This window comes from Homo sapiens, chromosome 16 (genome assembly GCF_000001405.40).
Source record: "Homo sapiens chromosome 16, GRCh38.p14 Primary Assembly".
NCBI classification, from domain to species: domain Eukaryota; kingdom Metazoa; phylum Chordata; class Mammalia; order Primates; family Hominidae; genus Homo; species Homo sapiens.
In genome coordinates this window covers 56,792,603-56,817,747 of record NC_000016.10, presented here as the reverse complement: position 1 = coordinate 56,817,747, position 25,145 = coordinate 56,792,603, and the positions used below count along the sequence as shown (strand labels likewise).

The window sequence follows — 25,145 nt, the reverse complement described above, 5'->3', positions numbered from 1 at the left end:
ATATAGAAAAGGCACATAAAAATACGGTATAATCTTATGAAGCCAGCCACCATCACATATGCAATGTATGACTGTGTATGAAAAAAGTTTCAGTCTTTTTAAAGAAAGAATATTCATCTTTAGCCAAGCTTATTTCTTCTGTAAAGAAATACAGATCAAAATTAGGTAAATTCTTAAGTTCCCACTGACTAGTTTGTACTGTAGCATAGCAGAGATCAAATTCTTTAAGCTTATCTCATTTATAAAAAAAAGCTGAATGTTCCATACACTAAAATCTAAAATAAATCAAAGTTTAAACTAGGTTTTCTGTGAAACCAATGGGGAAGATAACAGCCAAGCTTCCCAGCACTATGAAGCTGGTAAAAGGAAGAGTACAGTGGGCATGCACCAGGAGAGGGGGAGAGAGGGGAGAGAAGTTATCAGAAAGGCAGTCTGAAGCCCCTGGTTCTGGAGAATGAACACTGGAGTGTCAAGGATGCCTGGGTTCCAGGAGGGCCACTTCACTCCCTGGCTTTGGCTTCTGAAGCAAAGCACCTCCTCAGATTCCCATTAGTCAAATGAAGGGGCTATCCTAGGTGATCTTGAGAGGTCCCCTCAGCTCTGATCTCCAGCTATCACTGGTATTAAAAGAGCTTAAACAGTTCACTGATCTGGGTAGATGCTGCTGGCTGGCACAATGATCACTCCCAATTCCTACTTCTCACATCTTTACACTCTGCCACCTTTCAAGCTGGCATTTCGAGTTATTAGGTTGATGCAAAAGTGATTGCAGGTTTTGCCATTACTTTCAACGGCAATCACTTTTGCACCAACCGAATAAATGTACCCAATAGTGTGCTGGTAAATGTTTCTTAACAGCCAGCTCTTGGGAAAAGGGACGATGGGTAGCATTGCTGGTGTCTGCGGTTTAAATTCTCCCACCATGGCAGATTTCAAGCTATTCAAGGTGATATCAACTAGACCGCAAATTCCTTGAAAATTTAACAACAGGTCCTCATGTGTTGATCCCTATACACCACTGAATATACCCTTTTCCAGACTCTACTACATCAAGGAATGGCACACCCTAGTTCTAGCCAATGAGATGGAAACACAAGCCTGCTAGTATACTTGGGGACAGCTTCTGCTTTTACTGATTGGAGGGTTGAGGCGGGGGGCCTGTCATGGCTTTTCAGCTCTCTCCCCTTCTTTCTGCCTTGAATGCAAATATAATGTCTAGAGCTCCTGCAGCCATCTTGTGAACCTAAAGTAGATGGATGTGCTAGAGAAGGTAGTGTACCAGGACAGAAAGGTGTTGGGTCCCTGACGGCACTGCAGAACAACTGGATTAACATCAACACTCTCCACACCTGCAGACATCTTGGTAGGTGAGAAATATATACCCCTATTCAAGCTACTAAAGCTCAAGGTTTCCACCTGTCACAGCTGAAAGCATTCCTACCTGAAACACAGATTTAATTTAAAAAACCACTGGGTTACAATAATAACAACAGCTATTAATGAGCACTTACTATGTGCCAACACTATTTGAATTTCCATGTTATTAACTCCACAACCCTATGAAGTAGGTACTTTTATTTATTTATCCATCTTACAGGTGAAGACACAAAGGCACACAGAGACGCGAAGCAATTTGCCCAAGTTCACTTCAGTAGGAAGCAGTGGAGCTGTGGCTTGAATCCACAGTCTGGCACCACACTCTGTACTCTTTGCTACTGCTCTATCCTGCCTGCCAGGGCTGCCCAGGGCAACTCTCCAAAAACATTCATCACAGAACAGTAGAGAGTAGTAGTAGTGGTAGTAGTAGTAGTAGTGGTAGCAGCAGCAGCACCAGCAGCAGCAGCAGCACCAGCAGCAGCAGCAGCAGCAGCAGCAGCAGCAGTAGCAGTAGTAGCTGGAAATCCTGGATCCACTACTTACAACAATGTGACCTGGAGCATACTGCTGCCTTTAAGCCTCAGTTTCCTTAGCTGTAAAGTGGGGGTGGTAATGGTATCCACCACATAGGATTGGGATGAAGATTAAATGGGGAGAAAAACGGTATGAATCCCTACCTCACAGCACTGTTGTGAGGAATAAGTGGAAGACTTCAACACAGTGTCCAAGATATGGTCAATAAACACTAGCTGTTATCACTTTATAAACAAAAAGAAACCACCACAACGAACACAGGAGCAAATCCTACGCTCCACAACAACAGACAGATATGGACACCTCAGAAATATGACCTAAAGTATTTCACTTTGTGCAGGCTGAAAGTCTCATTTCATTTTTCTACAATGAATACACATTCCTTGTTTGATGGAAGCCCCCACCAAGCCCCCCAGCCAGGGCATTTTATACTTCTGGACTCATTCTGAGTCTTCCTATTAACACTATATTAAGGACTGTTCTCTAAGACAGCCACCTTTCTAAAACAGAGCTATCCAAAAGCTGGAGATTCCACAGTCTTTTTACAGGACACAGCACTAAGCCTGTTAATTCCAGAAACCTAGTCAAGGAGAATAAACAAGGAAATGAAAAGGAGAACAGCACTAAAGCATTTTTGCAAGGACACAGTTGTTGTAGCTAAATATACATGAGCAGCCTTGAGAAATATTTTCCAGTGCTAAAAACCTAATTTTTAAAATTATCCATTTAAACAGTAGCTGGGTATCAGCCTTCAAATTTCCATTTAAATTAATTTTGCCTAATGCTCTTGTTTTCAAAGGTACCTATCCTTCAGTTGCCCTTGACCAAGCCGCTATTTCCCCGCACATAAAGTCAATTATCCACAAGAGGATGTGTACGTGCACATTCCTGAACAGAGGAACCGGCAAATATTTAGCTGGAATTCCACAGCCAGGGACTGCCTGAGGGCTGGGAAAGCCACCAATCTCTGGGGTTCTCTGCACTGGGGCTTGGCGGAGCCATAGCAAGGACGACAGGACAAGATGACAGGAGCAGGGAGCCAGAGACCAAAAGAGCAGGGAAGACAACAGGGTTTCTTCTTTTAGAAGAAAACAAGCAGCTCACCCAGGAGTCTGGAGACAGATATGTGGAAAAACAGCAGCCTCTGGGAGCACAAACTGAGAAAAGTCTCGTCAGAGTAGATGGTGTTCCCAAGACAGCCATTCCAGGACAGGATGGGGACCGAAAGTGGCAGGAGGGAACCGCAAACTTGTATTAAGCACCTACTATTGTACAAAGTGTATTCAGGGATGCATAAAACTCTTTTCCCAAGGAAAGCACATTCTAGTTAGAAAAAAACGAAATGCAGGCAGGGCGTGGTGGCTCATGCCTATAATCTCAGCACTTTGGGAGGCTGAGGCAGGCGGATCACTTGAGTCCAGGAGTTCAAGAACAGCCTGTGTGACATGGCGAAACCCCGTCTCTACAAAAAACAAAAACAAAAATTAGCTGGGTGTGGCAGAACGCGCCTGTAGTCCCAGCTATAATACTTGGGAGGCTGAAGCGAGAGGATCGCTTGAGCCCGGGAAGCGGAAGTTGCAGTGAGCTGAGATTGCGCCACCGCATTCCAACCTGGGTGACAGAGACCCTATCTCAAAGGTGGGGGAGAAAAAGAAAAAAAAGGAATGCAACTAGCACTCCTAGCAAAATGAATATAGGGTAGTAAGAAAATATGATGATACTGCAGACGGAAAAGAATTTAATTTCTAAGTGGAATGTTTTGGCTTTATGTAAGCAAAATGGAAACACGGTGATTAATTTACAATAGTTAGCTTTAAAAGTTGTAGGCAAAAGTCCAGTACTACTGGGAAAAAAACACCAACCAGGGACCAGAGAGGACTAGGGTCCTAAATGCAACCCAGCTATTAACTGTGTGACCTTATTAACCCTACTAAGATTGTGTGACCATGGACAAAATGAGAGGAATACTTGGGCCACACATAGGCTGGAACACTATTAGAACTACTAAAAAACGACAGACACCTATGTGTATTAACCTAGGAGAAGTTGTAAAATATGTAAAACAAAAAACATAATGCAAAATTATAGGAACTAATATATAAAATGATACTATTTGAGATAATAAATCGATAAGATATACAGATGTGCATGTAAGCCCCTGGGAGAAACTGGAAGGGTATACACCACTGACAGGTTGTGTTTGGGTGCAGGATGGGGAAGAGCAGCAGAGTGGGTCTACATTCCTCTACTGTCAGAAAAGCGCACAAGATCAGACAAGGGCCTGTTGAGATGAGGTTTTTAAAAAATCTTTTTGAAAGAGCAGCAGAGCACTTTCTATACCTGAACTCCTACTCAAACCCCTAACAGGTGAACTGGGTCCATCCCCAAGGAAACTGCCAGGGAGCCACAAAATACAGCTCAGAATCCTATGGTCTGCAGTTTTCAAACTGTTAGTTCATATTCTACTATATTTCATTTCATCTAATAGTCCACCTATTGTAAAACACTGTTATGTATCAATAAGAAATTTTAAAATGCTGTTAATGATATACTGCTGAATTTAAGACATATCCTGATTTGAGAGATGTTGAGATGTAAAACAGATGCATGACTGAGAAGTGATGGAATATGGTATTAAGAGTTATCAAAATTAGAGACTATGTTCAACATACACTGTTTACATATCATAGTGTGGAATGTTACCATCATTATCTATACTTATTAAGCCATAGTTTAGCTTCCCTAGTGAGATTTCCTGCTGAGTCATGTTCCAGACAATACATTAAGGGATTGTTCATAGACTATGTCTAATACCACAAAGCAGCCACTAGACTACACTCAGGTTAAATTTACCTTTAAATGTTGTTTTAAAAGTTGGCTAAGGTACATCATAGATTCCCCAAACTGCTCAAATCCTGCATGCTGTCATGCAAGCCTCAATAGGGAAGTTCTTCCTCATGCTGAGCAGATGCAAAAACTGCGACGTGAGGATTCGTAGCCAGGGGTCTCATTTTTGTTTCAAAGCACATCATTTTTATTCACATCACAACTTAAAGAGTTAGTAACAATCTTTCAATTCCTACTTTCCTCTAAAAAGTATACCTTTTTCTTCCAATGATATCCTAAGGAAATTAATTTCCCAAATTGACTCTATGCTACTGAAGCATCATTTCCTTTATTAAAACTTGCTAGGGGGGCGGACACAGTGGCTCACACCTGTAATCCCAGCACTTTGGGAGGCCGAGGCGGGCAGATCACAAGGTCAGGAGATCCAGACCATCCTGGCTAACACAGTGAAGCCCCGTCTCTACTAAAAATACAAAAAATTAGCCAGGCGTGGTTGCGGGCGCCTGTAGTCCCAGCTATTCGGGAGGCTGAGGCAGGAGAATGGCACGAACCCGGGAGGCGGAGCTTGCAGTGACCCAAGATCGCGCCACTGCACTCCAGCCTGGGCAATAGAGCGAGACTCTGTCTCAAAAAAAGAAAAAAAAACAACTTGCTAGGAACAGATATTACCAATGTCTCCTTTAGAAGGAACTGGGGGAAACTCCTGTTATTGGAAGGTGTGGGGGAAAAACATGTTTCAGAAACCACTATATCTTAGTCTACTTTTTGCTAAACAAACAAACAAAAAAAGCTTTGAGCCTCTCTTTATATTAAATTACCAGAATTTGGACATTTTCCTTCAAGTGTTAAGGTCAGCTCAAAATTATGTGAAGCTGTCTTCTTAACTGACTCTGTATTCCAACGACCTTATTCCTGACAATAAGGTACCCAGAAAAGAATGTTTTAGATATTGTCATACTCCTTTAATTATCTCCTCTATTTATATGCAAAGATTTTTTTGATTCCTAACAATACTTTATAAATCAAGGAAAACACTTAAAAAGAGATGGATCCATATTAAAATGATTGAAGTAAAAATGTGTATCTTACCAAATACCAACAATCGCACAAAGAATGCTAGAATATGCTGACTGTGTACACTATGCTAGGCACTGGGCCGGCCACTTTACATAGTCTACATTCCTTACGTAACAACAGTTTTTTAAGGAAGACATTTCATGGCCAGACGCAGTGGCTCACACCTGTAATCACAGCACTTTGGGAAACAGAGGAGGGCAGATCACTTGAGGTCAGGAGTTCGAGACCAGCCTGGCCAATATGGTGAAACCCTGTCTCTACTAAAAATACAAAAATTAACCAGGCATGGTGGCACATGCCTGTAATCCCAGCTATTCGGGAGGCTGAGGCACGAGAATCACGCCATTCCACTCCAGCCTGGGTGACAGAGTGAGACTCTGTTTCAAAAAAAAAAACAAAAACAAAATGATATTTCATAATGAGGAAGCCCAGGCTTGGGGACCCAAAGCCTGCTGAATACCAAAACCTGTCTTATGCCTTTTACATTGTGTAGTCTCCTATAAAGAGGGTGGACAAGGTGTCTGTCCATGTGAAGTATCAACTTTCCATTATTTTGAAGGAAATTATATGGAAAAGGCCTATAAAAACACAAGGTTCCACATACACACTGGAATGGTTAAATTTAAAAAGACAGAAAACATCAAGTGTGGCAAGGATATGGAACAAATGGAATTCTCACATACTGCTGGTGGGAGGGTACTCCAATATAACCATTTTGGAAAACAGTTTGGCAGTATCTGCTAATGCTGAACATATGCATACCCTCTGGCTCAGCAATTACCCTCTTAGGTGTACCCAACAGAGATGCAAATATGTGCTCACCAAAACACACAAAAATGCTCACCATAGTACTATTTATAAAAGAACTGGAAACTAAAAGGTTCACCAATACTAGAATGGATAAACAAATTGCAGTTATACTGTTTAGCCATGAGAATGAATGGCTTAAAAGTACATGCAATAATATACAAAAGGTTACATAAAAGCAGCTAGAAACAACAGTAGATACTATATGACTCCATTTACATAAAGTTCAAAAACAGGCAAAATTAATTTATGATATTGGATGTCAAGATAGTGGTTTCTCTTGTTGATAGTGGGTGGTGACCAGAAAGGACCACAAAGAGGATTTCTGGGGCGCTGGTGACCAGAAAGGACCACAAAGAGGATTTCTGGGGCGCTGGTAATGTTCTGTTTCCTCATCTGGGTGTGTTCTATTTGTGATGATTCATTGAGTTGTACACTTTTTAAAAATTTTTTAATTTTTTGAGACAGAGTCTCACTGTGTTGCCCAGGCTGGGTGTACAGGCTGGGGTACAGTGGTGCGATCACAGCTCACTGCAGCCCCAACCTTCTGGGCACAAGCGATCCTCCCACCTGAGGCTCTTGAGTAGCCCAGACTACAGGAGCATGTAACCATGTCCAGCTAATTAAAAAAATTCTTTTTGTAGAGACGGGGTCCTACTATGTTGCCCAGGCTGGTCTCAAACTCCTGGATTCAGGTGATCCTCCTGCCTCAGCCTCCCAAAATGCTGGAATTACAGGCATAAGCCACTGCACTCAGCCTGAGTTGCATACTTACGTCTGTGCACTTTTCCATCTATACGTTATACATCAGGAAAAAAGTTCAAACAACAAACAACAAAATCTGTAAGATTCCGGAAAAGGGCAATTCCCTGGATAATCTTAAGAAAGACCTGTATACATCACTTGCCAACATTTACAAACTACTCTGCCAGGTGTCACAACAGATAGGAAAAGCATAGATAACTCCCTTCCAAGGGGACTTGAGGTCAAGTAAGAAGAGTCTACTAAACAGACTATTCTATTTTTACGAGAAGAGCAATCAAGAAAGAACATCCCATTATCAATTTATAATTACATCCAAATCCCAATACAGAACACAACCTATTAACACCATTTTAAAAAGTGAAGTTTATAAAACCATGAGCTGTTCTAATTATTTGCTCAGATTCACAAAGAATTGAGAAAGAAACATTAGTTTGACCAACGATATTATACATTTGTTTTTCGTTTCCAAAGACTGATTTCAGTCTGAAATCTTTAGGTCTAAGAAATAAGGAACAGGGTCCTTAATGAGCAATTTCCCAACACAATGACTTTGGCATCTGTTTATTTGGGGGCTAGTTTAATAAAACAAAACCAAAAACCCTGGTGTTTAAATCAGGAACAAACCAGGAATAGATACCGGATGTGCAGTTACCCTTTGCCAACCTACCTATCCTTGACCTAGACTTCAGTAGAGTAAGAGTCCACAGGCCAACCATCCTGGGTCTCACGAGCATATTATGTGTCTCTCTGAGCCTCAGTTTTCTTATCTCGATGTGCAAAAAGAATCTTAGCTACTCATGAAACAACTTCGGGGGAAAAAAAGACTTATCAGGAAGCACTGATGATATTACCTGAAAACACCTAGCACCATAATTTTTGTAACGTAATTTTAAATCTTCACCTCTAAATTTCATGAAACTGCTTTTAAAAGATAATAGGGAATGGCTATTATGGGTCAGGTGCTTTACATTATCACTAATCTTCCCCAATAATCTCACTTCAATCAGTAAAGACCCTGAAGGTCTGCAGGGTTAATTAAGTAACTTGGACAAAGCCTCAGAACTAGTCACTGCTGATTTGGAAAAGCTAGCAAAAAGCCCAGGGCTGTCCTCCCTCAACACCAGGGTGGTAAATGTGTGGCAAGCCCTGGCTCCCTCTGGCACAAAGGCAAAAATCACAGATAAAGGGAGACAATCTTTTTTGCTGCTCCTGGATGTAGCCTCAAAATCCCTCTCAGGAAAGACCTCTGGGATACATGAAGGGAAAAAAGAAAAAATGCAGAACAGAGCATTCAGTAAGCTAACGTTTCTGTAAGAAGGAATGGGGATAAGAACATACAGTCTCATATACTTGTATAAAGACACTTCGCAAATTTACACAAGAAAGTACTAATAGTGATTACCTATGGGGAAGACAAAGGGAGAAGAGAATAGGGTATTTGGGGACAGGGTGCTTTAATATCTGAATGATACAACCACACTGCATATATATATGTGTATTTATATATATATTTATATATGTATTTATATTTATATATGTATTTATATACATATTTATATATGTATTTATATATATGTATTTTTATATATTTATATATGTATTTTATATATGTATTTATATATATTTATATATGTATTTTTATATATTTATAAATATATGTATTTTATATATTTATAAATATATGTATTTTTATATATTTATATAAATGTATTTATATATTTATAAATATTTATATAAATGTATTTATATATTTATAAATATTTATATAAATGTATTTATATATTTTTATATATTTATAGTTATATAACTATATTTATATATAGTTACATAACTATATATTTATATAGTTACATAACTATATATTTTATAGTTACATAACTATATATTTTATATAGTTACATAACTATATATTTTATATAGTTACATAACTATATATTTTATATAGTTACATAACTATATATTTTATATAGTTACATAACTATATATTTTATATAGTTACATAACTATATATTTTATATAGTTACATAACTATATATTTTATATAGTTACATAACTATATATTTTATATAGTTACATAACTATATATTTTATATAGTTACATAACTATATATTTTATATAGTTACATAACTATATATTTTATATAGTTATATAACTATATATTTTATATAGTTATATAACTATATATTATATATAGTTATATAAATATATTTATATAGTTATATAATATATATTTATATGTGTGTGTATATTTATATATTTTTATATTTATATATATTTATATATATTTTTAGAAATATATATATTTATATATATTTTTTGAGACGGAGTTGCCTTTTGTCACCAGGCTGGAGTGCAGTGGCGGGATCTCAGCTCACTGCGACCTCCGACTCCCCTGGTTCAAGTGATTCTCCTGCCTCAGCCCCTGGAGTAGCTGGGATTACAGGCACACGCCACCAGGCCCAGCTAATTGTTGTTATTTTTAGTAGAGACCAGGTTTCACCATGTTGGCCAGGATGGTCTTGATTTCCTGACCTTGTGATCCACCCTCCTTGGCCTCCCAACATGCTGGGATTATAGGCGTGAACCACCGCGCCCGGGCCACACTGCCTATATTTTAAAATTAAATTTTAAAAAGAGGGAAAAAAATTTCAACTTAGCACTACTGTCAGTCAATTAACACTGGCAATTAAGAAAAGGGCTACTTAACATAATCATTCTATAATACACTGCTTCAATATATCCCTAACAGTTCAGTTAGTACGAAGTTAGCTACAGCCAAATGATTCACTCAACAAATATTTCCTGAGCATCTACAGTATTCCAGGCACTGGAGATAAAGGAATAAACAAAACAAAGATCCTTATCTTCAATAAGCTTACATTCTAATGGGAGAAAGAGACAATATAAAGACATAAAACATATACTATGGCACATAGAAGGATGTGCCAAAAAGAAAAATACAGCAAGAGAAGGGGATATGCAAAGTGTTGAATAAGAAGGGGTTGGTTTGGATTTCAGGGCCTTGGAAGGTCTGAGATGGCAATGGGTAAATATCCGAAGGAAGTGAGAGAGACTGCCATGCAGTCCTTTGGGGGAAGAGCATTCCTGGCAGAAGCAATAGGAAGCACAGAGGACTGGAGGCAGAAGCAGGGCTACCAGGTTTGCTGAAGGAACCTGTAAGAAGCCTGTTCGGCTGGTGCAGCAAGAACAACAGGGAAAGCAGCACAAGATGAGCTTGGAGAGGCAACAAGACCATGTCATGTAGGGACCCACATGTCAAAGTGAAGACTTTGGTTTTCATTCCATGTGAGATGAGAGTCACTGAAGGGTTCTGAGCAGAGAAGTGACACAATCTAACCTGTCCTTTAATAGTTGCGTTCTTGCTGCTGTGTTGAGAAGAGACTGTAGCAGCGTGCAACAGCAAAAGCAGAAAGACCAGAGTGGTCAGCAGCCTCTAAGATGGCCCCAATAACTCCCACCTCCTGGTAGTCAAGCCCTTGTATAATCCTCTCCCCTGGAGTGTAGGCTGGATTTAGTGACTTCTAACCAACAGAGGTGGGATACTACTTTTAAGTTATAGAAAGATGATAGTTTCTGTCTTGGGGGCTATTTAGCTCTCCCTTGGACCCATTCCCTCTTGTTCTAGGGGAAGCAAGCTATCATGTTGTGAGCAGCACAATATAGAGGCCCATTTGAAAAGAAAATAATTTCTGCAGCCAAGAGCCAGAAAGGACCTAAGGTTTGCCAACAGCCATGTGAATGACCTTGTGAGTAGATGCTCCTTGCGTCTAGCCTTGAAATGAGTGCAGCCTCGGCCAATACCCTGATTGTGCTTAGAGACCCTGAGCCAGAAATACCAAGTAAGAAGCTACACACTTGTTTTCAACAAACAAGGTTTGGAGTAATCTGTTACACGGCAATAACAACAACCAGTTAGGAGGCCAAGTTCAATAATCCAAGCAAGAGATGACAGTGATTTGTACCAGAGTGTTAAAAGTGGAGGCAGTGAGAAGTGGTTGGATTCTGGGTATATTTTAAGGTAGGGTTAACTGGATTTGTCAACATGTGAAAGAGACTGGGTGTCAGATGGGCAAGATGGAGAGGACAAAAGTGAGGCTGAGGTGTCTGATCTGAGCAAGTGAAAAACTGGAATTGCCACTTATAAAGATAGGGAACTCTGTGAGAAGAGAAGGGGGATAGGGAAGGAGTTGCTATCATGACTCAATTCTGGACATATTTAGCCTGTGAGGGCAATGAGACACACAAGCAGAGCCAAGAAGGCAACTAGATAAATTAACACTGGCTAGATAAATTAACCAGATAAATTAACACTAAGGTTCAAGGCTGCAGGCGTAAATCTGAAACTCTTTGACATATAGATGATAGGTATTTAAAGCCCCAAGCCCCAGATGAAATCACAGGATAGCGATTGAGAGAGAAACTGAAGAGGTTAAGGACTGAGCCCTGGGACACTCAAACCTATAGAGGTCAGGGAATTTGAGGAAAGCTCAGCAAAGGAGACTGAGACGAAGCAGGCAGACATGTTGGAGGAAGTCCAGGCAAATGCGGCATCCTAAAAGCTAAGTGAAGAAAGTGTTTCAAGGGGAAGACAGTGATCCACTGTGCCAAAAATACTAGTCAAGTAGACAAGTATTCTTTGACTTCATGTTTTTATTAACAGTAGTTTATCTTTTGCATTCAAGCTACCTCGCTTTCTTGAGTAAAGTCAAGGGCGTCTTCTCCTGATGCCAGCAGTGTGTGCAGAATTCGCTGTTTCACTTGCTCCCACTCAACCAACATTGACTCCCGATGGTACTCCTCAGCCATGCCGAAGGTCTGCCAGAAAGGAACAGAGAACAATGACCCTCAGGAAAAAAACAAAAAAAACATGGTTTAAGACCCAACAGAAACCTAAAGCCCTCCAGACCAACCACTTCTCCATAGGTAGAGAAAAAGCAATCTACTTTAAAAATTATCTTTGAAGAATTTACTGGCTGAGCGTGGTGGTTTACACCTGTAATCCCAGCATTTTGGGGAGCCAAAGCAGGCAGATTGCTTGAGCCCAGGTGTTCGAGAGCAGCTTAGGCAACATGGCAAAACCCTCTCTACAAAAAGTTAGCTGGGCACGGTGGTGTACACCTGTAGTCCCAGCTACTTGGGAGGCTGAGGTGGGAGGATCACTTGAGCCCAGGAAGTCGAGGCTGCAGTGAGCTGTGATCGCAACATTGCATTCCCTCCTGGGTGACAGAGCAAAACCCTGTCCCAAAACAAAAAAAACTGCACTCCAACCTGGGCAACAGAGCAAGACCTTATCTCCAAAAAAATAAATAAATAAATAAACTTACTGACAACTGTTTGCAACATACCGTATTTCACTGATTTTAAGACATTTTAATAAAACTTCGGTAAAATATAAACTTTTTTTTTTTTTTTTGAGACAGAGTTTCACTCTGTCGCCCAGGCTGGAGCGCAGTGGCACGATCTCGGCTCACTGCAACCTCCGCCTCCACGGTTCAAGTGATTTTCCTGTCTCAGCCTCCCGAGTAGCTGGGATTACAGGCGCCCACCACCACGCCTAGCTAATTATATTTTTACTAGAGACGGGGTTTCACCATGTTGGCCAGGCTGGTCTCAAACTCCTGACCTCAGGTGATCTGCCCACCTCGGCCTCCCAAAGTGCTGGGATTACAGGTGTGAGCCACCGTGCCCAGCCCACATAAACCATTTTTAAGTGTATAGTTCAGTGGTATTAAGTACATTCTCATTATTGTGCAATCATCACCACCATCTCTTAGCTCCTGGCAACCACCACTCTACTTTGTTTCTGTGAATTTGACTACTCTAGGTACCTCACATAAATGGAATCATACAGTATTTGTCTTTTTGTGAGTGAAATAAGCCAGAGACAATCAGCATAATGTCCTTAAGAGTTGTAGCAAGTGTCAGAATTTCCTTTCTTTTTAAAGCTGAAAAATATTCCACTGTATGAATATACCACATTTTCTTTATCCATTCATTCACTGATGGACACCTGGGTTGCTTCCACTTCTTGGCTTTTGTGAATAATGCTATAAACGTGGGTGTACAAATATCCCTGCTTTCAATTCTTCTGGGTATATACTCAGAAGTGGAACTGCAAGTGGAACTGCAAGGTAATTTTATTTTTAATTTTGTGAGGAACCGACATACTATTTCCATAGAGGCTGTACCATTTCACATTTCTACCTGCAGTGCACAAGGGTTTCAATTTCTCTACATCCTCACCAACACTTAATACGTTGTTTTCTGGTCACACGTGGTGGCTCATCCCTGTAATCCCAGCACTTTTGGGAGGCTGAAGCAGGCAGATCACTTGAGGTCAAGAGTTCAAGACCACCCTGGTCAACATGGCAAAACCCTATTACTACTAAAAATACAAAAATCAGCTGGGTGTGGTGGTGTGTGCCTGTAATCCCAGCTACTTGGGAGGCTGCGACATGAGAATAGAGGTTGCAGTGAGCTGTGACTGTACCACTGCACTCCAGCCTGGGCAACAGAGCAAGACTGTCACAGAAAACAAAAACATAAAAACCATATATATATATATATATATTTTTCCCTGTTTTTTGCTTGTAACCATCCTAATCGGTGTAAAGTGGTATCTCACTGTGGTTTTGATTTATGTTCCCGTAATGATTAATGATGTTGAGCATCTTTCCATGTGTTTATTAATATAAACATCTTTATAAAAGCTCTGAAATTAGATCGTATGTCATAGCAGTATTTTTTCTTTGTAGCATATAAAATAATGACGGATTATAAAATCAATAGTATCTTACGATATAATAAACATCTAAGATAAGAAAAAACAAGTTTCTCCCAGTGTTTTATTATTATTATTATTATTTTTTTCTGTTGCCCAGGCTGGAGTGCAGCAGAACGATCTCAGCTCACTGCAAACTCCGCCTCCTGAGTTCATGCCACCTTCCCACCTCAGCCTCCCAAGTAGCTGGGATTACAAGCATGCACCACCACACCTGGCTAACTTTTGTGTTAAGACTTTTAGTAGAGACAGGGTTTCACCATGTTGGCTAGGCTGGTCTCGAACTCCTGACCTCAAGTGATCCGACCGCCTTGGCCTCCCAAAGTGCTGGGATGACAGGTGTGAACCACTGCACTAGGCCCCAGTGATTTGATTTGATTTTTTAAAGAAACACTAAACTTTCATAGGAGGAAGCAAACCAGTAAAAGAAAAAGAGCCCTCTGGGATTAAACTGCCTACCAAGCTACTCAAAGTTACTGAAAAGCTACTGTCTACTGGTAGTTGCAGGTAGCTGCGAAAATAAAGGCATTCAGAAGGAAAATAAAAAAGAAAGGAAGTCTGGGGAGGGGGTGGGAGAGGGAAGAAGGAAGATGACCAAAAAAAATCTGAGAATTAAAACAACATAGATAGATTGAATTATGACCATTCTCAGCCTATTATTCTCCAATTGGCAGACCAGGTTTCCCATCAGCTTAAGCCTTTTCAAAAAGCCATTTCATTTACAATCAGATTGGCATCTAATTAGGCAGCAATAAGGGAATGAGTATTAGCAATGCCTGCTTTATTATTGGCAACACAGATAATTTATACTGATAATATTGATATGCATGAGCTTTGGGGAACTGTTAGAAAAATCACATACATATACTCTTCCTACAATTGGGATGTTTTGTTTCAGACCAATATTTATTAAAATGTGAAAAAGGACATCAGACATACATACACATATGACACGTGATTAGGAAGAAGGTTGGTGCGTTGCTGGACCCTTTTCTAATACATATTCTGCAGACACAGGAGAAATGATAATTACAAATTTTAAAAACAGTCTTCCAACTGTTTTTTTTCTTTTCACTGAGTCAGGCAGAATGGACCATACCAGTCAGTTAGCCTGAGCTGAAAAATACCGAGAAAAACCTTTGCTTCTTGCTCACATCTGTAAACTTTAAACATGAAAGTTATGCATTTTAAATCAAGAGAAGTATGATGGAACACAAAGGTGGGGTGGGGGTGGGGGGGAAGAGATAATTTTCTTAGAAGTTGTCCAGAAAGAATGGACAAGTGTGAGCCACAATTTTGTCTAAAACTTTCCTACATAGTGGTCAAACCAACTGCCTCCTCAGCCTCTAGCCTCTCCCAGCAAGGTAAAATGGAGGGCCAGGTGGCATAAGGATCAGGTAGGGTAGAAGTTAGGAGGCAGGGGGAGGTTGATACGCTATACAGCCTACTGAGCTGCAACACGGGGTGAGCACACCACAAAGTGTAGCAAGTCTTTTTTTCTTAAGGACAAGACCTCTGGCTAAGAGTGGCAGAGTAGCAAAGGCAATTAAAGAAAACAGACAATACACCACCCACAGAGACTGCTGAAGAGGACAGTGGAGACAGACTTTCAGCATCAGGTAAGGGTCAGAATGACAACAGTGGGAATTAACCATTCCCTGTTAATTGGGCTGCCTGCCTGTGTGCCAAGAACTCCTGCTTAGCACTTTGAAAGTACTTTGAAAACTATCAGCTTTCCGGGTTCAAATCCTCAGATATATCTGAAAGTATGCCAGGCTACTCATTTAGAAACACCCTCACAACCTGAATGAACAGTGCTGTAGTTCTATTTACCATTAGTGTGATAAAGAGCTTCAAATAAAAATAAATGGCCCAGGCGGGCAAATTGCTTGAGGTCAGCAGTTCGAGACCAGCCTGGCCAACATGGTGAAACCCCATCTCTACTAAAAATACAAAAATTAGCTGGGCATGGTGGCAGACGCCTGTAATCCAAGCTACTCGGATGGCTGAGGCAGGAGAATCACTTGAACCCTGGAGATGGAGGTTGCGGTGAGCCGAGATCACACCATTACACTCCAGCCTGGGTGACAGAGCAAGACCCTGTCTCAAAAAATAAATAAATGATCCAATATCAAAATTCTCTTCCCTTAATTGCATCACCCCCAGCTTATCTTAATTACATTAGAGGTAATGGAACATTCAATCTGTGGGCTAACCAGGGATGATCAGCCACCCATCTGTCCCATTCCAATCTATTCTGTTTATATCCACATCTGAACCATTGAACTAAAGTGCAAAGAAGAATGCTAACTAGAGGAACTAATGAGAGGGAATCAACAGAACTGCTCAACTAATAACTAAGAGAAGAGGAGGGCAATGAGAGTCTAAGGTGAGGTGGGAAGCAGTGATAAGAAGAAACTCAATAGACAAGAAAAAGGATAAACTGGAAGTGTGGAGAGATCTAAAAATTAAAAGGAAGGCAAAACAATCCACAGAAAATGACAAAACAGTGGAGAAATTATTATAAATTAAATCTGAATCTTTCAAGTTTTTGTTATGTGTGGAAAATATTTCTCTTTGAACACAGTTAAGAAAAAAAGCATGGGAAGAATTGGACAGCTGAATTAAGAGCAGGTGGGGAGCATTTGAACCCCATTTTCATAAAGGGAAGAGGGCAATATGCTTTGACTTCACACCCGTTTATTACTGCACTGTTGCTGGCTTTTAGAAACACTGCATATGTTCTGATAATGTTGTTCTGTTTTTGCCTGGATGTACCAAATGGGGAAAGACAGGACACACTTGTGGTTTTGTAGCTTGTTTTCCTGGCATTTCAGCAGGACACTGGCAAGTTATTCAAACATGAAATAGTCACAAAAATACCAGAAAGTTGCTCACTTTTTGTGTGAAAATGATTCTTGCTCAGTGGCAGTTTCCTGGTGTCCAGACAGGTCAAAGGTCTCCCCCTAGGCTGGCTCCCAACACTGGAATGCCTCCCTCACAAACACATATGCACACATTTTGCACTGTGGTATGTCACCTAAATGTTTTGGCTGGCTGCACATTTAGTCTCAGTATGGCACAATGTTCAGAGACTGCCAATTCCAGAAACACATTCTGCGGGGTAAATGGATTAATAAAGCTTGGTAGCATTCAACAATCCTAATTTAATTTCACTGGTCCTTTACAGCAGGAGAATCAATGTTGGTGAGTAACTCACTTAATGTGTGAACCAAAAAAAACCCTTTTAAAAATATTTTCAGATCTGAATCAAGTGAATTTCTCTGTATCTATGACTAAGTACTATTGCCAACAATATAATTAATGAAATTTTGGGGATTTTATTTATTTTTTTGAGACAGAGTCTCACTCTGTCACCCTGGCTGGAGTGCAGTGGCACGATCTCAGCTCACTGCAACCTCTGCCTCCTAGGTTCAAGCGGTTCTCCTGCCTCAGCCTCTTGAGTAGCTGGGACTATAGGTGTGCGCCACCACACCTGGCTAATTTTTGTATTTTTAGTAGAGACAGGGTTTTGCCATGATGGCTGGGCTGGTCTCGAACTCCTGACCTCAAGTGGTCCACCTGCCTTGTCCTCCCAAATTGCTGGGATTACAGGCGTGAGCCACTGTGCATGATGGGAATTTTATTTTGATAACTAAACATATCAGTCATTTAAATAACGACTTTGGAACATTTCCTTATAAAATGGAGCTGGCAAGTCTCCCTGCTGCCCTATTTCACCTCAGTACTACTGAGACATGTTCACCTTCACAGAATATTTTAATAAAGCACACTGAGAAGCAGCATTTTTTTCACTTTATTATTTTTGAACTACATAATAAATAAATTTCACTGGATATAAGAATTAAATAAGTAAACAGCAAAACAGAGGTGTCACTTCAAGCCTACACCCTTTGCAGAGAGGGCCACTGCTAGCTGATGGAATGTATCCTGCCAGCCTCCTTCCTGGGGAAAGCTGCACTTCTAGAACCAATTCCACAGGACAACTAGCCTTTCTTTTCCCTCATCAAAAGGCCCCAGTGGCCCAAAAATCTCTTTCACTATAATGGGATGTTATGGAAAGGTTTTGATATTTGGATCCTTGTCAGAAATAAATGGAGATAACTCACATGTTAGTAAACAATCTTTGAGTATCTTGCAGGACTGCTTGTTGCAGAATATTGTTGCACATATAATGGCTGGTCTTTGGCGGACTTATTTACCATCTTTTCAAGCATGGAGCTAGTTTCGCGTGTGTGCTTTTTTTATTTTTTTTGAGCTTGGAGAAATTGTTAATATAAAAGGTGGTCCACTCATATTGTGTAATAAAAGGAAACTAAGTTGAAGGAAATTGTCAGCTGCTTTTCTGAACTGCTGATTCAGTAGAAACCAAAATGCCATTTATACAATAACAATGAAACCACTAATTTTCTGGTCTTTCCATTTCAAGATTAATTTAATAGTTAATTGTCCAGTCCAGTGTCTCAGATGCATTTCAGTCACTAAATACATACAGAGTTATAAAGCATGGTATTCTCCTCAAAAAATGGTTCCTGTAGAACTCTCTCTGTAGGAGAGAACTGGGCATAGGATAGATTCCAGCTTCCAGATCCCACACTCCCCTAGTATATACTGCTACCCTTCATCTGCTTTTTTTTTTTTTTTTGAGACAGGGTCTCGCTCCTCATTCTGTCCCCCAGGATGAAGTGCAGTGGCGCGACTCGGCTCACTCAAGCCTCTACCTCCCAGGTTCAAGCAATTCTCCCACAACCACCGGAGTAGCTGGGACCACAGACGTGTGCCACCATGCTTAGCTAATTTTTTGCATTTTTTGTAAAGATGGGGTCTCACTATGTTGCCTAGGCTGATCTTGAATTCCTGGGCTCAAGCGAACTTCCTGCATCAGCCTCCCAAAGTGTTAGGATTACAGATGTGAGCCACCACGCCCAGCCCTCTTGCCCTCATCTGTATACATCTACATTTTGGTTAATTTTCTTACCCTCTTCCGGGACTCTTCGATGGCAGACAGCAGGGCATTGTCCTTCTCATTCTTCAGGAAGCCCTATAAATGGGGGAAAATTAACACAACTTAAAATTAACTTTCAAAAAATCAAAAGTATACTGCAGGGCAAACAATAACCATAATGGTATCTACTATGCTACCTACACCTCACAAAACTCTCCCAACTTGAAAACATCAACATAGATGACTTTTACAGATGTTTCTTAGTTTCTTCCATTCTGGGAGCACATGATGATTGTTAGAAAGTAAAGTCCCCATGAAACAACAGTGTGGGGTTCTATATCCCATAAACATGTAAAAAGTGGAAAGTCAAGACTGTCCTTCAAAATTCCTAAATGGCTCATATTGCAGATACAGCCTTGGTGATGGAGCTAGTCACAGTTCCTCTAACTGTTCCTTAGTCTATATTTCTCTGTTGGTTTAAATTAATTTCTTCCTAACATTGATGACATCATCATTGCCCACTTGTCTATGTGCTTTTCACTTGTTGGCCAATATCTGGGAAATTCTAAAAATCCTTTCTTTACACATTTCTTCCAGCGTTTTGCCATGTGCACTCTCTGTTTCAGGTCTGATGATGTCCACTGCTCGTTTAATACAGGTGAGGTGAAAAGACAGCCTACAAGTCTAGTTTAATATAAACAGGTTAAATGCCTGTAACACAATGGCCAAAAGGATAGGCTTTGAAATTTGACAGTTTCAAATCCTAGTGCCTCCATTTACTACTAGTAGCAGGACTTTAGCCAGGTCGCCCAAACTCCCTAAACCTCAGCTTATTTGTTTGTAAAAAAAATAAGATAATGTAATCAAGTTATTGACCCAAGGCTCAATACATGTAGCTCTATTATTAGGATCGATTAGATTTAGATCTGTTGGTGACTTCCATTAGTGAAAGAGATGCCCAGGATGACCTCTTTGCTGCTGTTCATTGTCCTTATTTGCTTCAGCCGAGATCTGACAGGAAAAGGGCTGAGACATTATTCTGATAGCCACAGTTGCAGACAGACAGACAGATATACAGAGTGCACTTCCCCGCCAACACCTTGCTCTTCATACAAGGGGGCAGTTTCTTTTCCATAGCTTGGGCTGGTGGGGGGCTGAGTAGGAACAAGGAAGATGACCCATCAATTGACATGTAGAGATCAAAGTCTTAGTTGTAATATGAAGAACTCAAGTTACCTTACACATCAGATCCACCTATACTCCAATGCAAGGTACAAGCATGTCACTACTGGTGCATTTATACATGTCTAAAATCACTCTGTCACCCAGGCTGGAGTGCAGTGGCACAATCTTGGCTCACTGTAAACTCAGCCTCCTGGGTTCAAGCGATCCTCCTGCCTCAGCCTCCCAAGTAGCTGGGATTACAAGCATGCACCACCACACCCTGCTAGTTTTTGTATTTTTAGTAGAGACAGGGTTTCACAATGTTGGCCATGATGAGGCCAACACGTTGGCTCAACCACAAGTGATCTGCCTCCCAAAGTGCTGGGATTACCGGCGTAAGCCACCGCACCCAGCCTCGTGTTTTTGCTTTTTTTTTTGAGATGGAGTCTCGCTCTGTTGCCAGGCTGGAGTGCAGTGGCGCCATCTCGGCTCACTGCAACCTCTGCCTCCTGGGTTCAAGCGATTATCCTGCCTCAGCCTCCTAACTGGGACTACCGGCACGTGCCACCACTCCAGCTAATTTTTGTATTCTTAGTAGAGATGGGGTTTCACCATGTTGGCCAGGATGATCTCGATCTCCTGACCTTGTGATCCAACCGCCTTGGCCTCCCAAAGTGCTAGGATTACAGGTGTGAACCACCGTACCCAGCTGTGTTTTTGCTTTTTAAAGAAACTGTGGGAAAATGTAATACAAAGTAGAATTTGGCAAAAGCTTTTCAAATGACAAGCTAAATTAAAACACAATCGTTTTCTTGCATTGGAAACGTACTGTCATGGTTAATTAGTTTTTGATCATTTTATAATTTAGCAACTGTAATGTTTTAGTATATAGTCAAGCATCATTTAATAACAGGGATACATTCAGAGAAAGGCTCCTACTAGGCGATTTCATCATTGTGTGAACACCACAGAATATACTTACACAAACCTAGATGGTATAGCCTACTACACCAAGCTGCATATGGTTTAACTTGTTGCTCCCAGGCTACGAACCTGTACAGCATGTTACTGTACTGAATACTACAGGCAACTGTAACACAATGGTAAGTATCTGTGTATCTAATTATAGACAAGGTACAATAAAAATATGGTATTGTAATCTTATGGGACCACTGTTGTATATTTGGGTTTGTCCTTGACCAAAACATCATTATGTGGCACATTAGTGTATTCTGTTCAGTCTTTTTAAGAAGGTGGGGGAGGCAGGTCGGGAGGCAGGATAATATTGGGGATATACATTTAAATAAAACATTACTAATTATAGATTTCCCAGATTCCTTACGTATTGGCCTATGTCTCCCCAACAGGTGCTGTCACACCCCAAAAACCTGGGCAGTGCACTGGGATGGATAGGAACAATGACCAGCAGCCCAGGAAATAGTTCCCTCTTAAAGACTCCATGGCCGAGCGCGGTGGCTCACGTCTGTAATCACAGCACTTTGGGAGGCCAAGGCGGGTGGATCACTTGAGGTCAGGAGTTCGAGACCATCCTGGCCAACATGGTGAAACCCTGTCTCTACTAAAAACACAAAGATTAGCCAGCCGTGGTGGCGGGCGCCTATAATCCCAGCTACTCGGGAGGCTAAGGCAGGAGAATTGCTTGAACCAGGGAGGCAGAGGTTGCAGTGAGCTGAGGTCACGCCACTGCACTCCAGCCTGGGTGACAGATACTCCATCTCAAAAAATAAAAATAAAAATAAAAATAAAAATAAAAATATTCCTCCAGCACAGCCTCTCAGGCAGCTCTGAGGACACAACATGAAGACTCTGCAAATACATATACTGATAACGGGGGTAGGATGGCGAATGGCATGGTCATTTGCCTAATAATGTAATGACATTAATAAACCAGAGCACATAAAGCTAGGAACCCACATGGTTCATTCAGAAGGGGGCAGCTTGTCACCACCTACCTGCTTTTGGCTATCACAGGGGACCCAGACACAAAACAATGGCAGATTTTAATGGGCCTTGTTTGTACCTTTCACAGCAAATGATTATGTCAAGTCAACAAACCTTTAGTATAAACACATTTTCATTAGTGGTCTCCAATGTGGCTAAAGCTAAAGGCTTTAGTGTCACGGTTCACAAACAAAGCTATGAAACTATTATCAATGACTAATGCTCCCAAACAATGAGTAGGCATGGATTCTGCTCTGTGGCACCTTTTTGTGGCTGCCGCTATGCTGCTGATTGTCCAAACAAGCTACGTTTGGGGGTAGTGGGGGAGAGGGGAGGGGATTACCACTGCCTCACAAAGCCTGGTCTAATATTTTCTTTTTGGTTGTGGGGAGGGGAGGGACCTGGGTTAAGTCTGGTGTTCTGTCATATTCCTTCTCTGGGCTTCTTCTGTTCTTCCCAGTCAATAATGACCAGCCTATCCAATTCTTTTTTTTTTTTTTTTTTTTTTTTTTTTTTTTGAGACAGAGTCTCGCTCTGTCGCCCAGGCTGGAGGGCAATGGCACGATCTCGGCTCACTGCAAGCTCCACCTCCCGGGTTCAAGCCATTCTCCTGCCTCAGCCTCCCGAGTAGCTGGGACTACAGGCGCCTGCAACCACGCCCAGCTAATTTTTTGTATTTTTAGTAGAGACAGGGTTTCACCGTGTTAGCCAGGATGGTCTCGATCTCCTGACCTCGTGATCCACCCGCCTCGGCCTCCCAAAGTGCTGGGATTACAGGCATGAGCCACCGCGCCCAGCCTATCCCATTCTTTTAATGACACCCATGTTCACATCTCTCTCTCTCTCTCTCTCTCTCTCTCTATCACACACACACTTACAACACAAATGCAAAGCAATGACCACATTTGTTGAAAAGCAAAATAATATTCTGCAAGAAATGCAATTCCCAAATTTCTGAGAGATGAAATTTCAAGTAAGAATGAAACAGAAGAAAAAAAAGACATTATTGTTTTGGGATAGATTACTCTGGTCTTTATTTACTATAAAGCTGCATTTTAGAACTCTCAATAAATTAAATGAAGCGTGTGTGTGTGTGTCAAACCTCACCCACATATAAACAAAGACCATTAACCATTACATACTTAAAAAACTGGGCTCTAAGCACAAACTGAGCCCACAAAATAGATTTTGAATTTTAATTTTTCATCCTTTCTTCCTTTCTAAAATGAAGTGCTAAATAGGTTATACATCATATTTTATTTTAAAAAACACACGTGTTCTGTCTTTTCAAAATATTTTTAAAAATAATAACACATCTATCTATCTATCTATCTATCTATCTATCTATCTATCTACCTACCTACCTACCTACCTATCTATCTATCTATCTAGAGATGGAGTCTCGCTCTGCCACCCAGGCTAGAGTGCAGTGGCGTGATCTCGGCTCACTGCACCTCCACCTCCCGGGTTCAAGCAATTCTTCTGCCTCCTCAGCCTTCTGAGTAGCTGGGACTACAGGCACACGCCACCACACCCAGCTAATTTTTGTATTTTTAGTAGAGACAGGGTGTCACCATATTGGTCAGGCTGGTCGCGAACTCCTGACATCGTGATCTGCCCGCCTCAGCCTCCCAAAGTATAAAATAGTAATTTATACATCAGAATACTGCTGGGATCTGTGTGCCATCTAGTGGCAGTGAGTTTCTTTCAAATAACCCACACCTCAAGGAAAAGTAACAGCCCAATGGAATTAAAGAACTAAAAAGTTGGGCAGAACCATAGCTGCCTCAGTCCAGGTCCCCCACAGATCTCCTGACTTCCCTTTCCTACCCATGTGTTTCCTTTCTCTCCAAACTCCTTCTCCTGTGATACGCCTCTCATGCCTCACCCAGGAGATGTACTCATATAGCTTATGAGAAAATGAGTTCTCTGGAGAAGGGAGCTGGAACGTGAAGGATGAACTGGCTCCCTGCCACTGAGATGCCCCGTGGGTACAGAAAAGGCCCAACAGTTCACCTCCCACTGGTAGATGCCAGCATCTAATGATGACCCCCAGAGCTCCCCATCACTACTATCCCTTCATTCCCATCAACAAGCACTTGTAATTGCTCACAGTCCCCCATTTGATCCTTCTGCTGTGGGTCAGCTCAATAAAGAACACCTCCCAAAACATCTGCAGGCCAGCTAGGTAAACTAACTCCTCCTGACTTCCCCATCTGTGTACTGCTCCTCACTGCCAGGGTGCTGAAACAGACCCTTGCCTGACTGGCTCCTCAAATGTGTTTTGGTTTCCAGCTTTCTATAACACATAATAGCCACCATTCAGGAAGCAATTAAGGGCCAGACACTGCTCTAGGCAATTCAAAGACATTATTGCTAATCCTTTAACAATATGAAAGAACAGACATAATCATCCCACTCTCCCCTATCCCCATCCCCTGCCCCATTTTACAGGTAAGAAGCTGAGATTTCCACATTTAACTAACTTGAGCAAAAATTCCCGACCAGGAAGAGGCAGAGGCAACATTCAAACATAGTTCCGGCTCTCAAGACCAACTATTTCTGAGATACTTAGGGAAGAGTAAACCTCTAAACAGCAAAAATAAAAAAAAATTTCTCTCTCTAAAAGGATGGAACCCAGGAGGAGAGTAAAATTTCCTTAAATTTGTTTTCATCATCAGGCTACTCTTTACAAACAATAAAGTTGAGGCTCAGAGTATGCTTATGGCATACTAATAATAGCTAACACTTAAATGGTGATCACTTTGTGCCAGGTATAAGTGTGTTACACACATCTGGTTCTAGCCCTTATTTTTAACCCAAAGCTACTGTCTCTCAATACT

The 25,145-nt window shown here is 41.1% G+C and overlaps 1 protein-coding gene across 4 annotated transcripts in view; it reads right to left on the bottom strand.

Moving 5' to 3' along the window:
* Positions 1–25,145, bottom strand: part of NUP93 (nucleoporin 93) — a 120,158-nt gene that overhangs the window by 32,539 nt on the left and 62,474 nt on the right. For all 4 annotated transcript variants that reach the window (NM_014669.5, XM_005256263.4, NM_001242795.2 and 1 more), the window contains 2 exons: positions 19,210–19,272; positions 12,116–12,244 (listed from right to left, as the gene is read on the bottom strand). In NM_014669.5, the coding sequence (NP_055484.3) occupies positions 12,116–12,244; positions 19,210–19,272 (192 nt within the window). The remainder of the gene's footprint in view (positions 1–12,115; positions 12,245–19,209; positions 19,273–25,145) is intronic.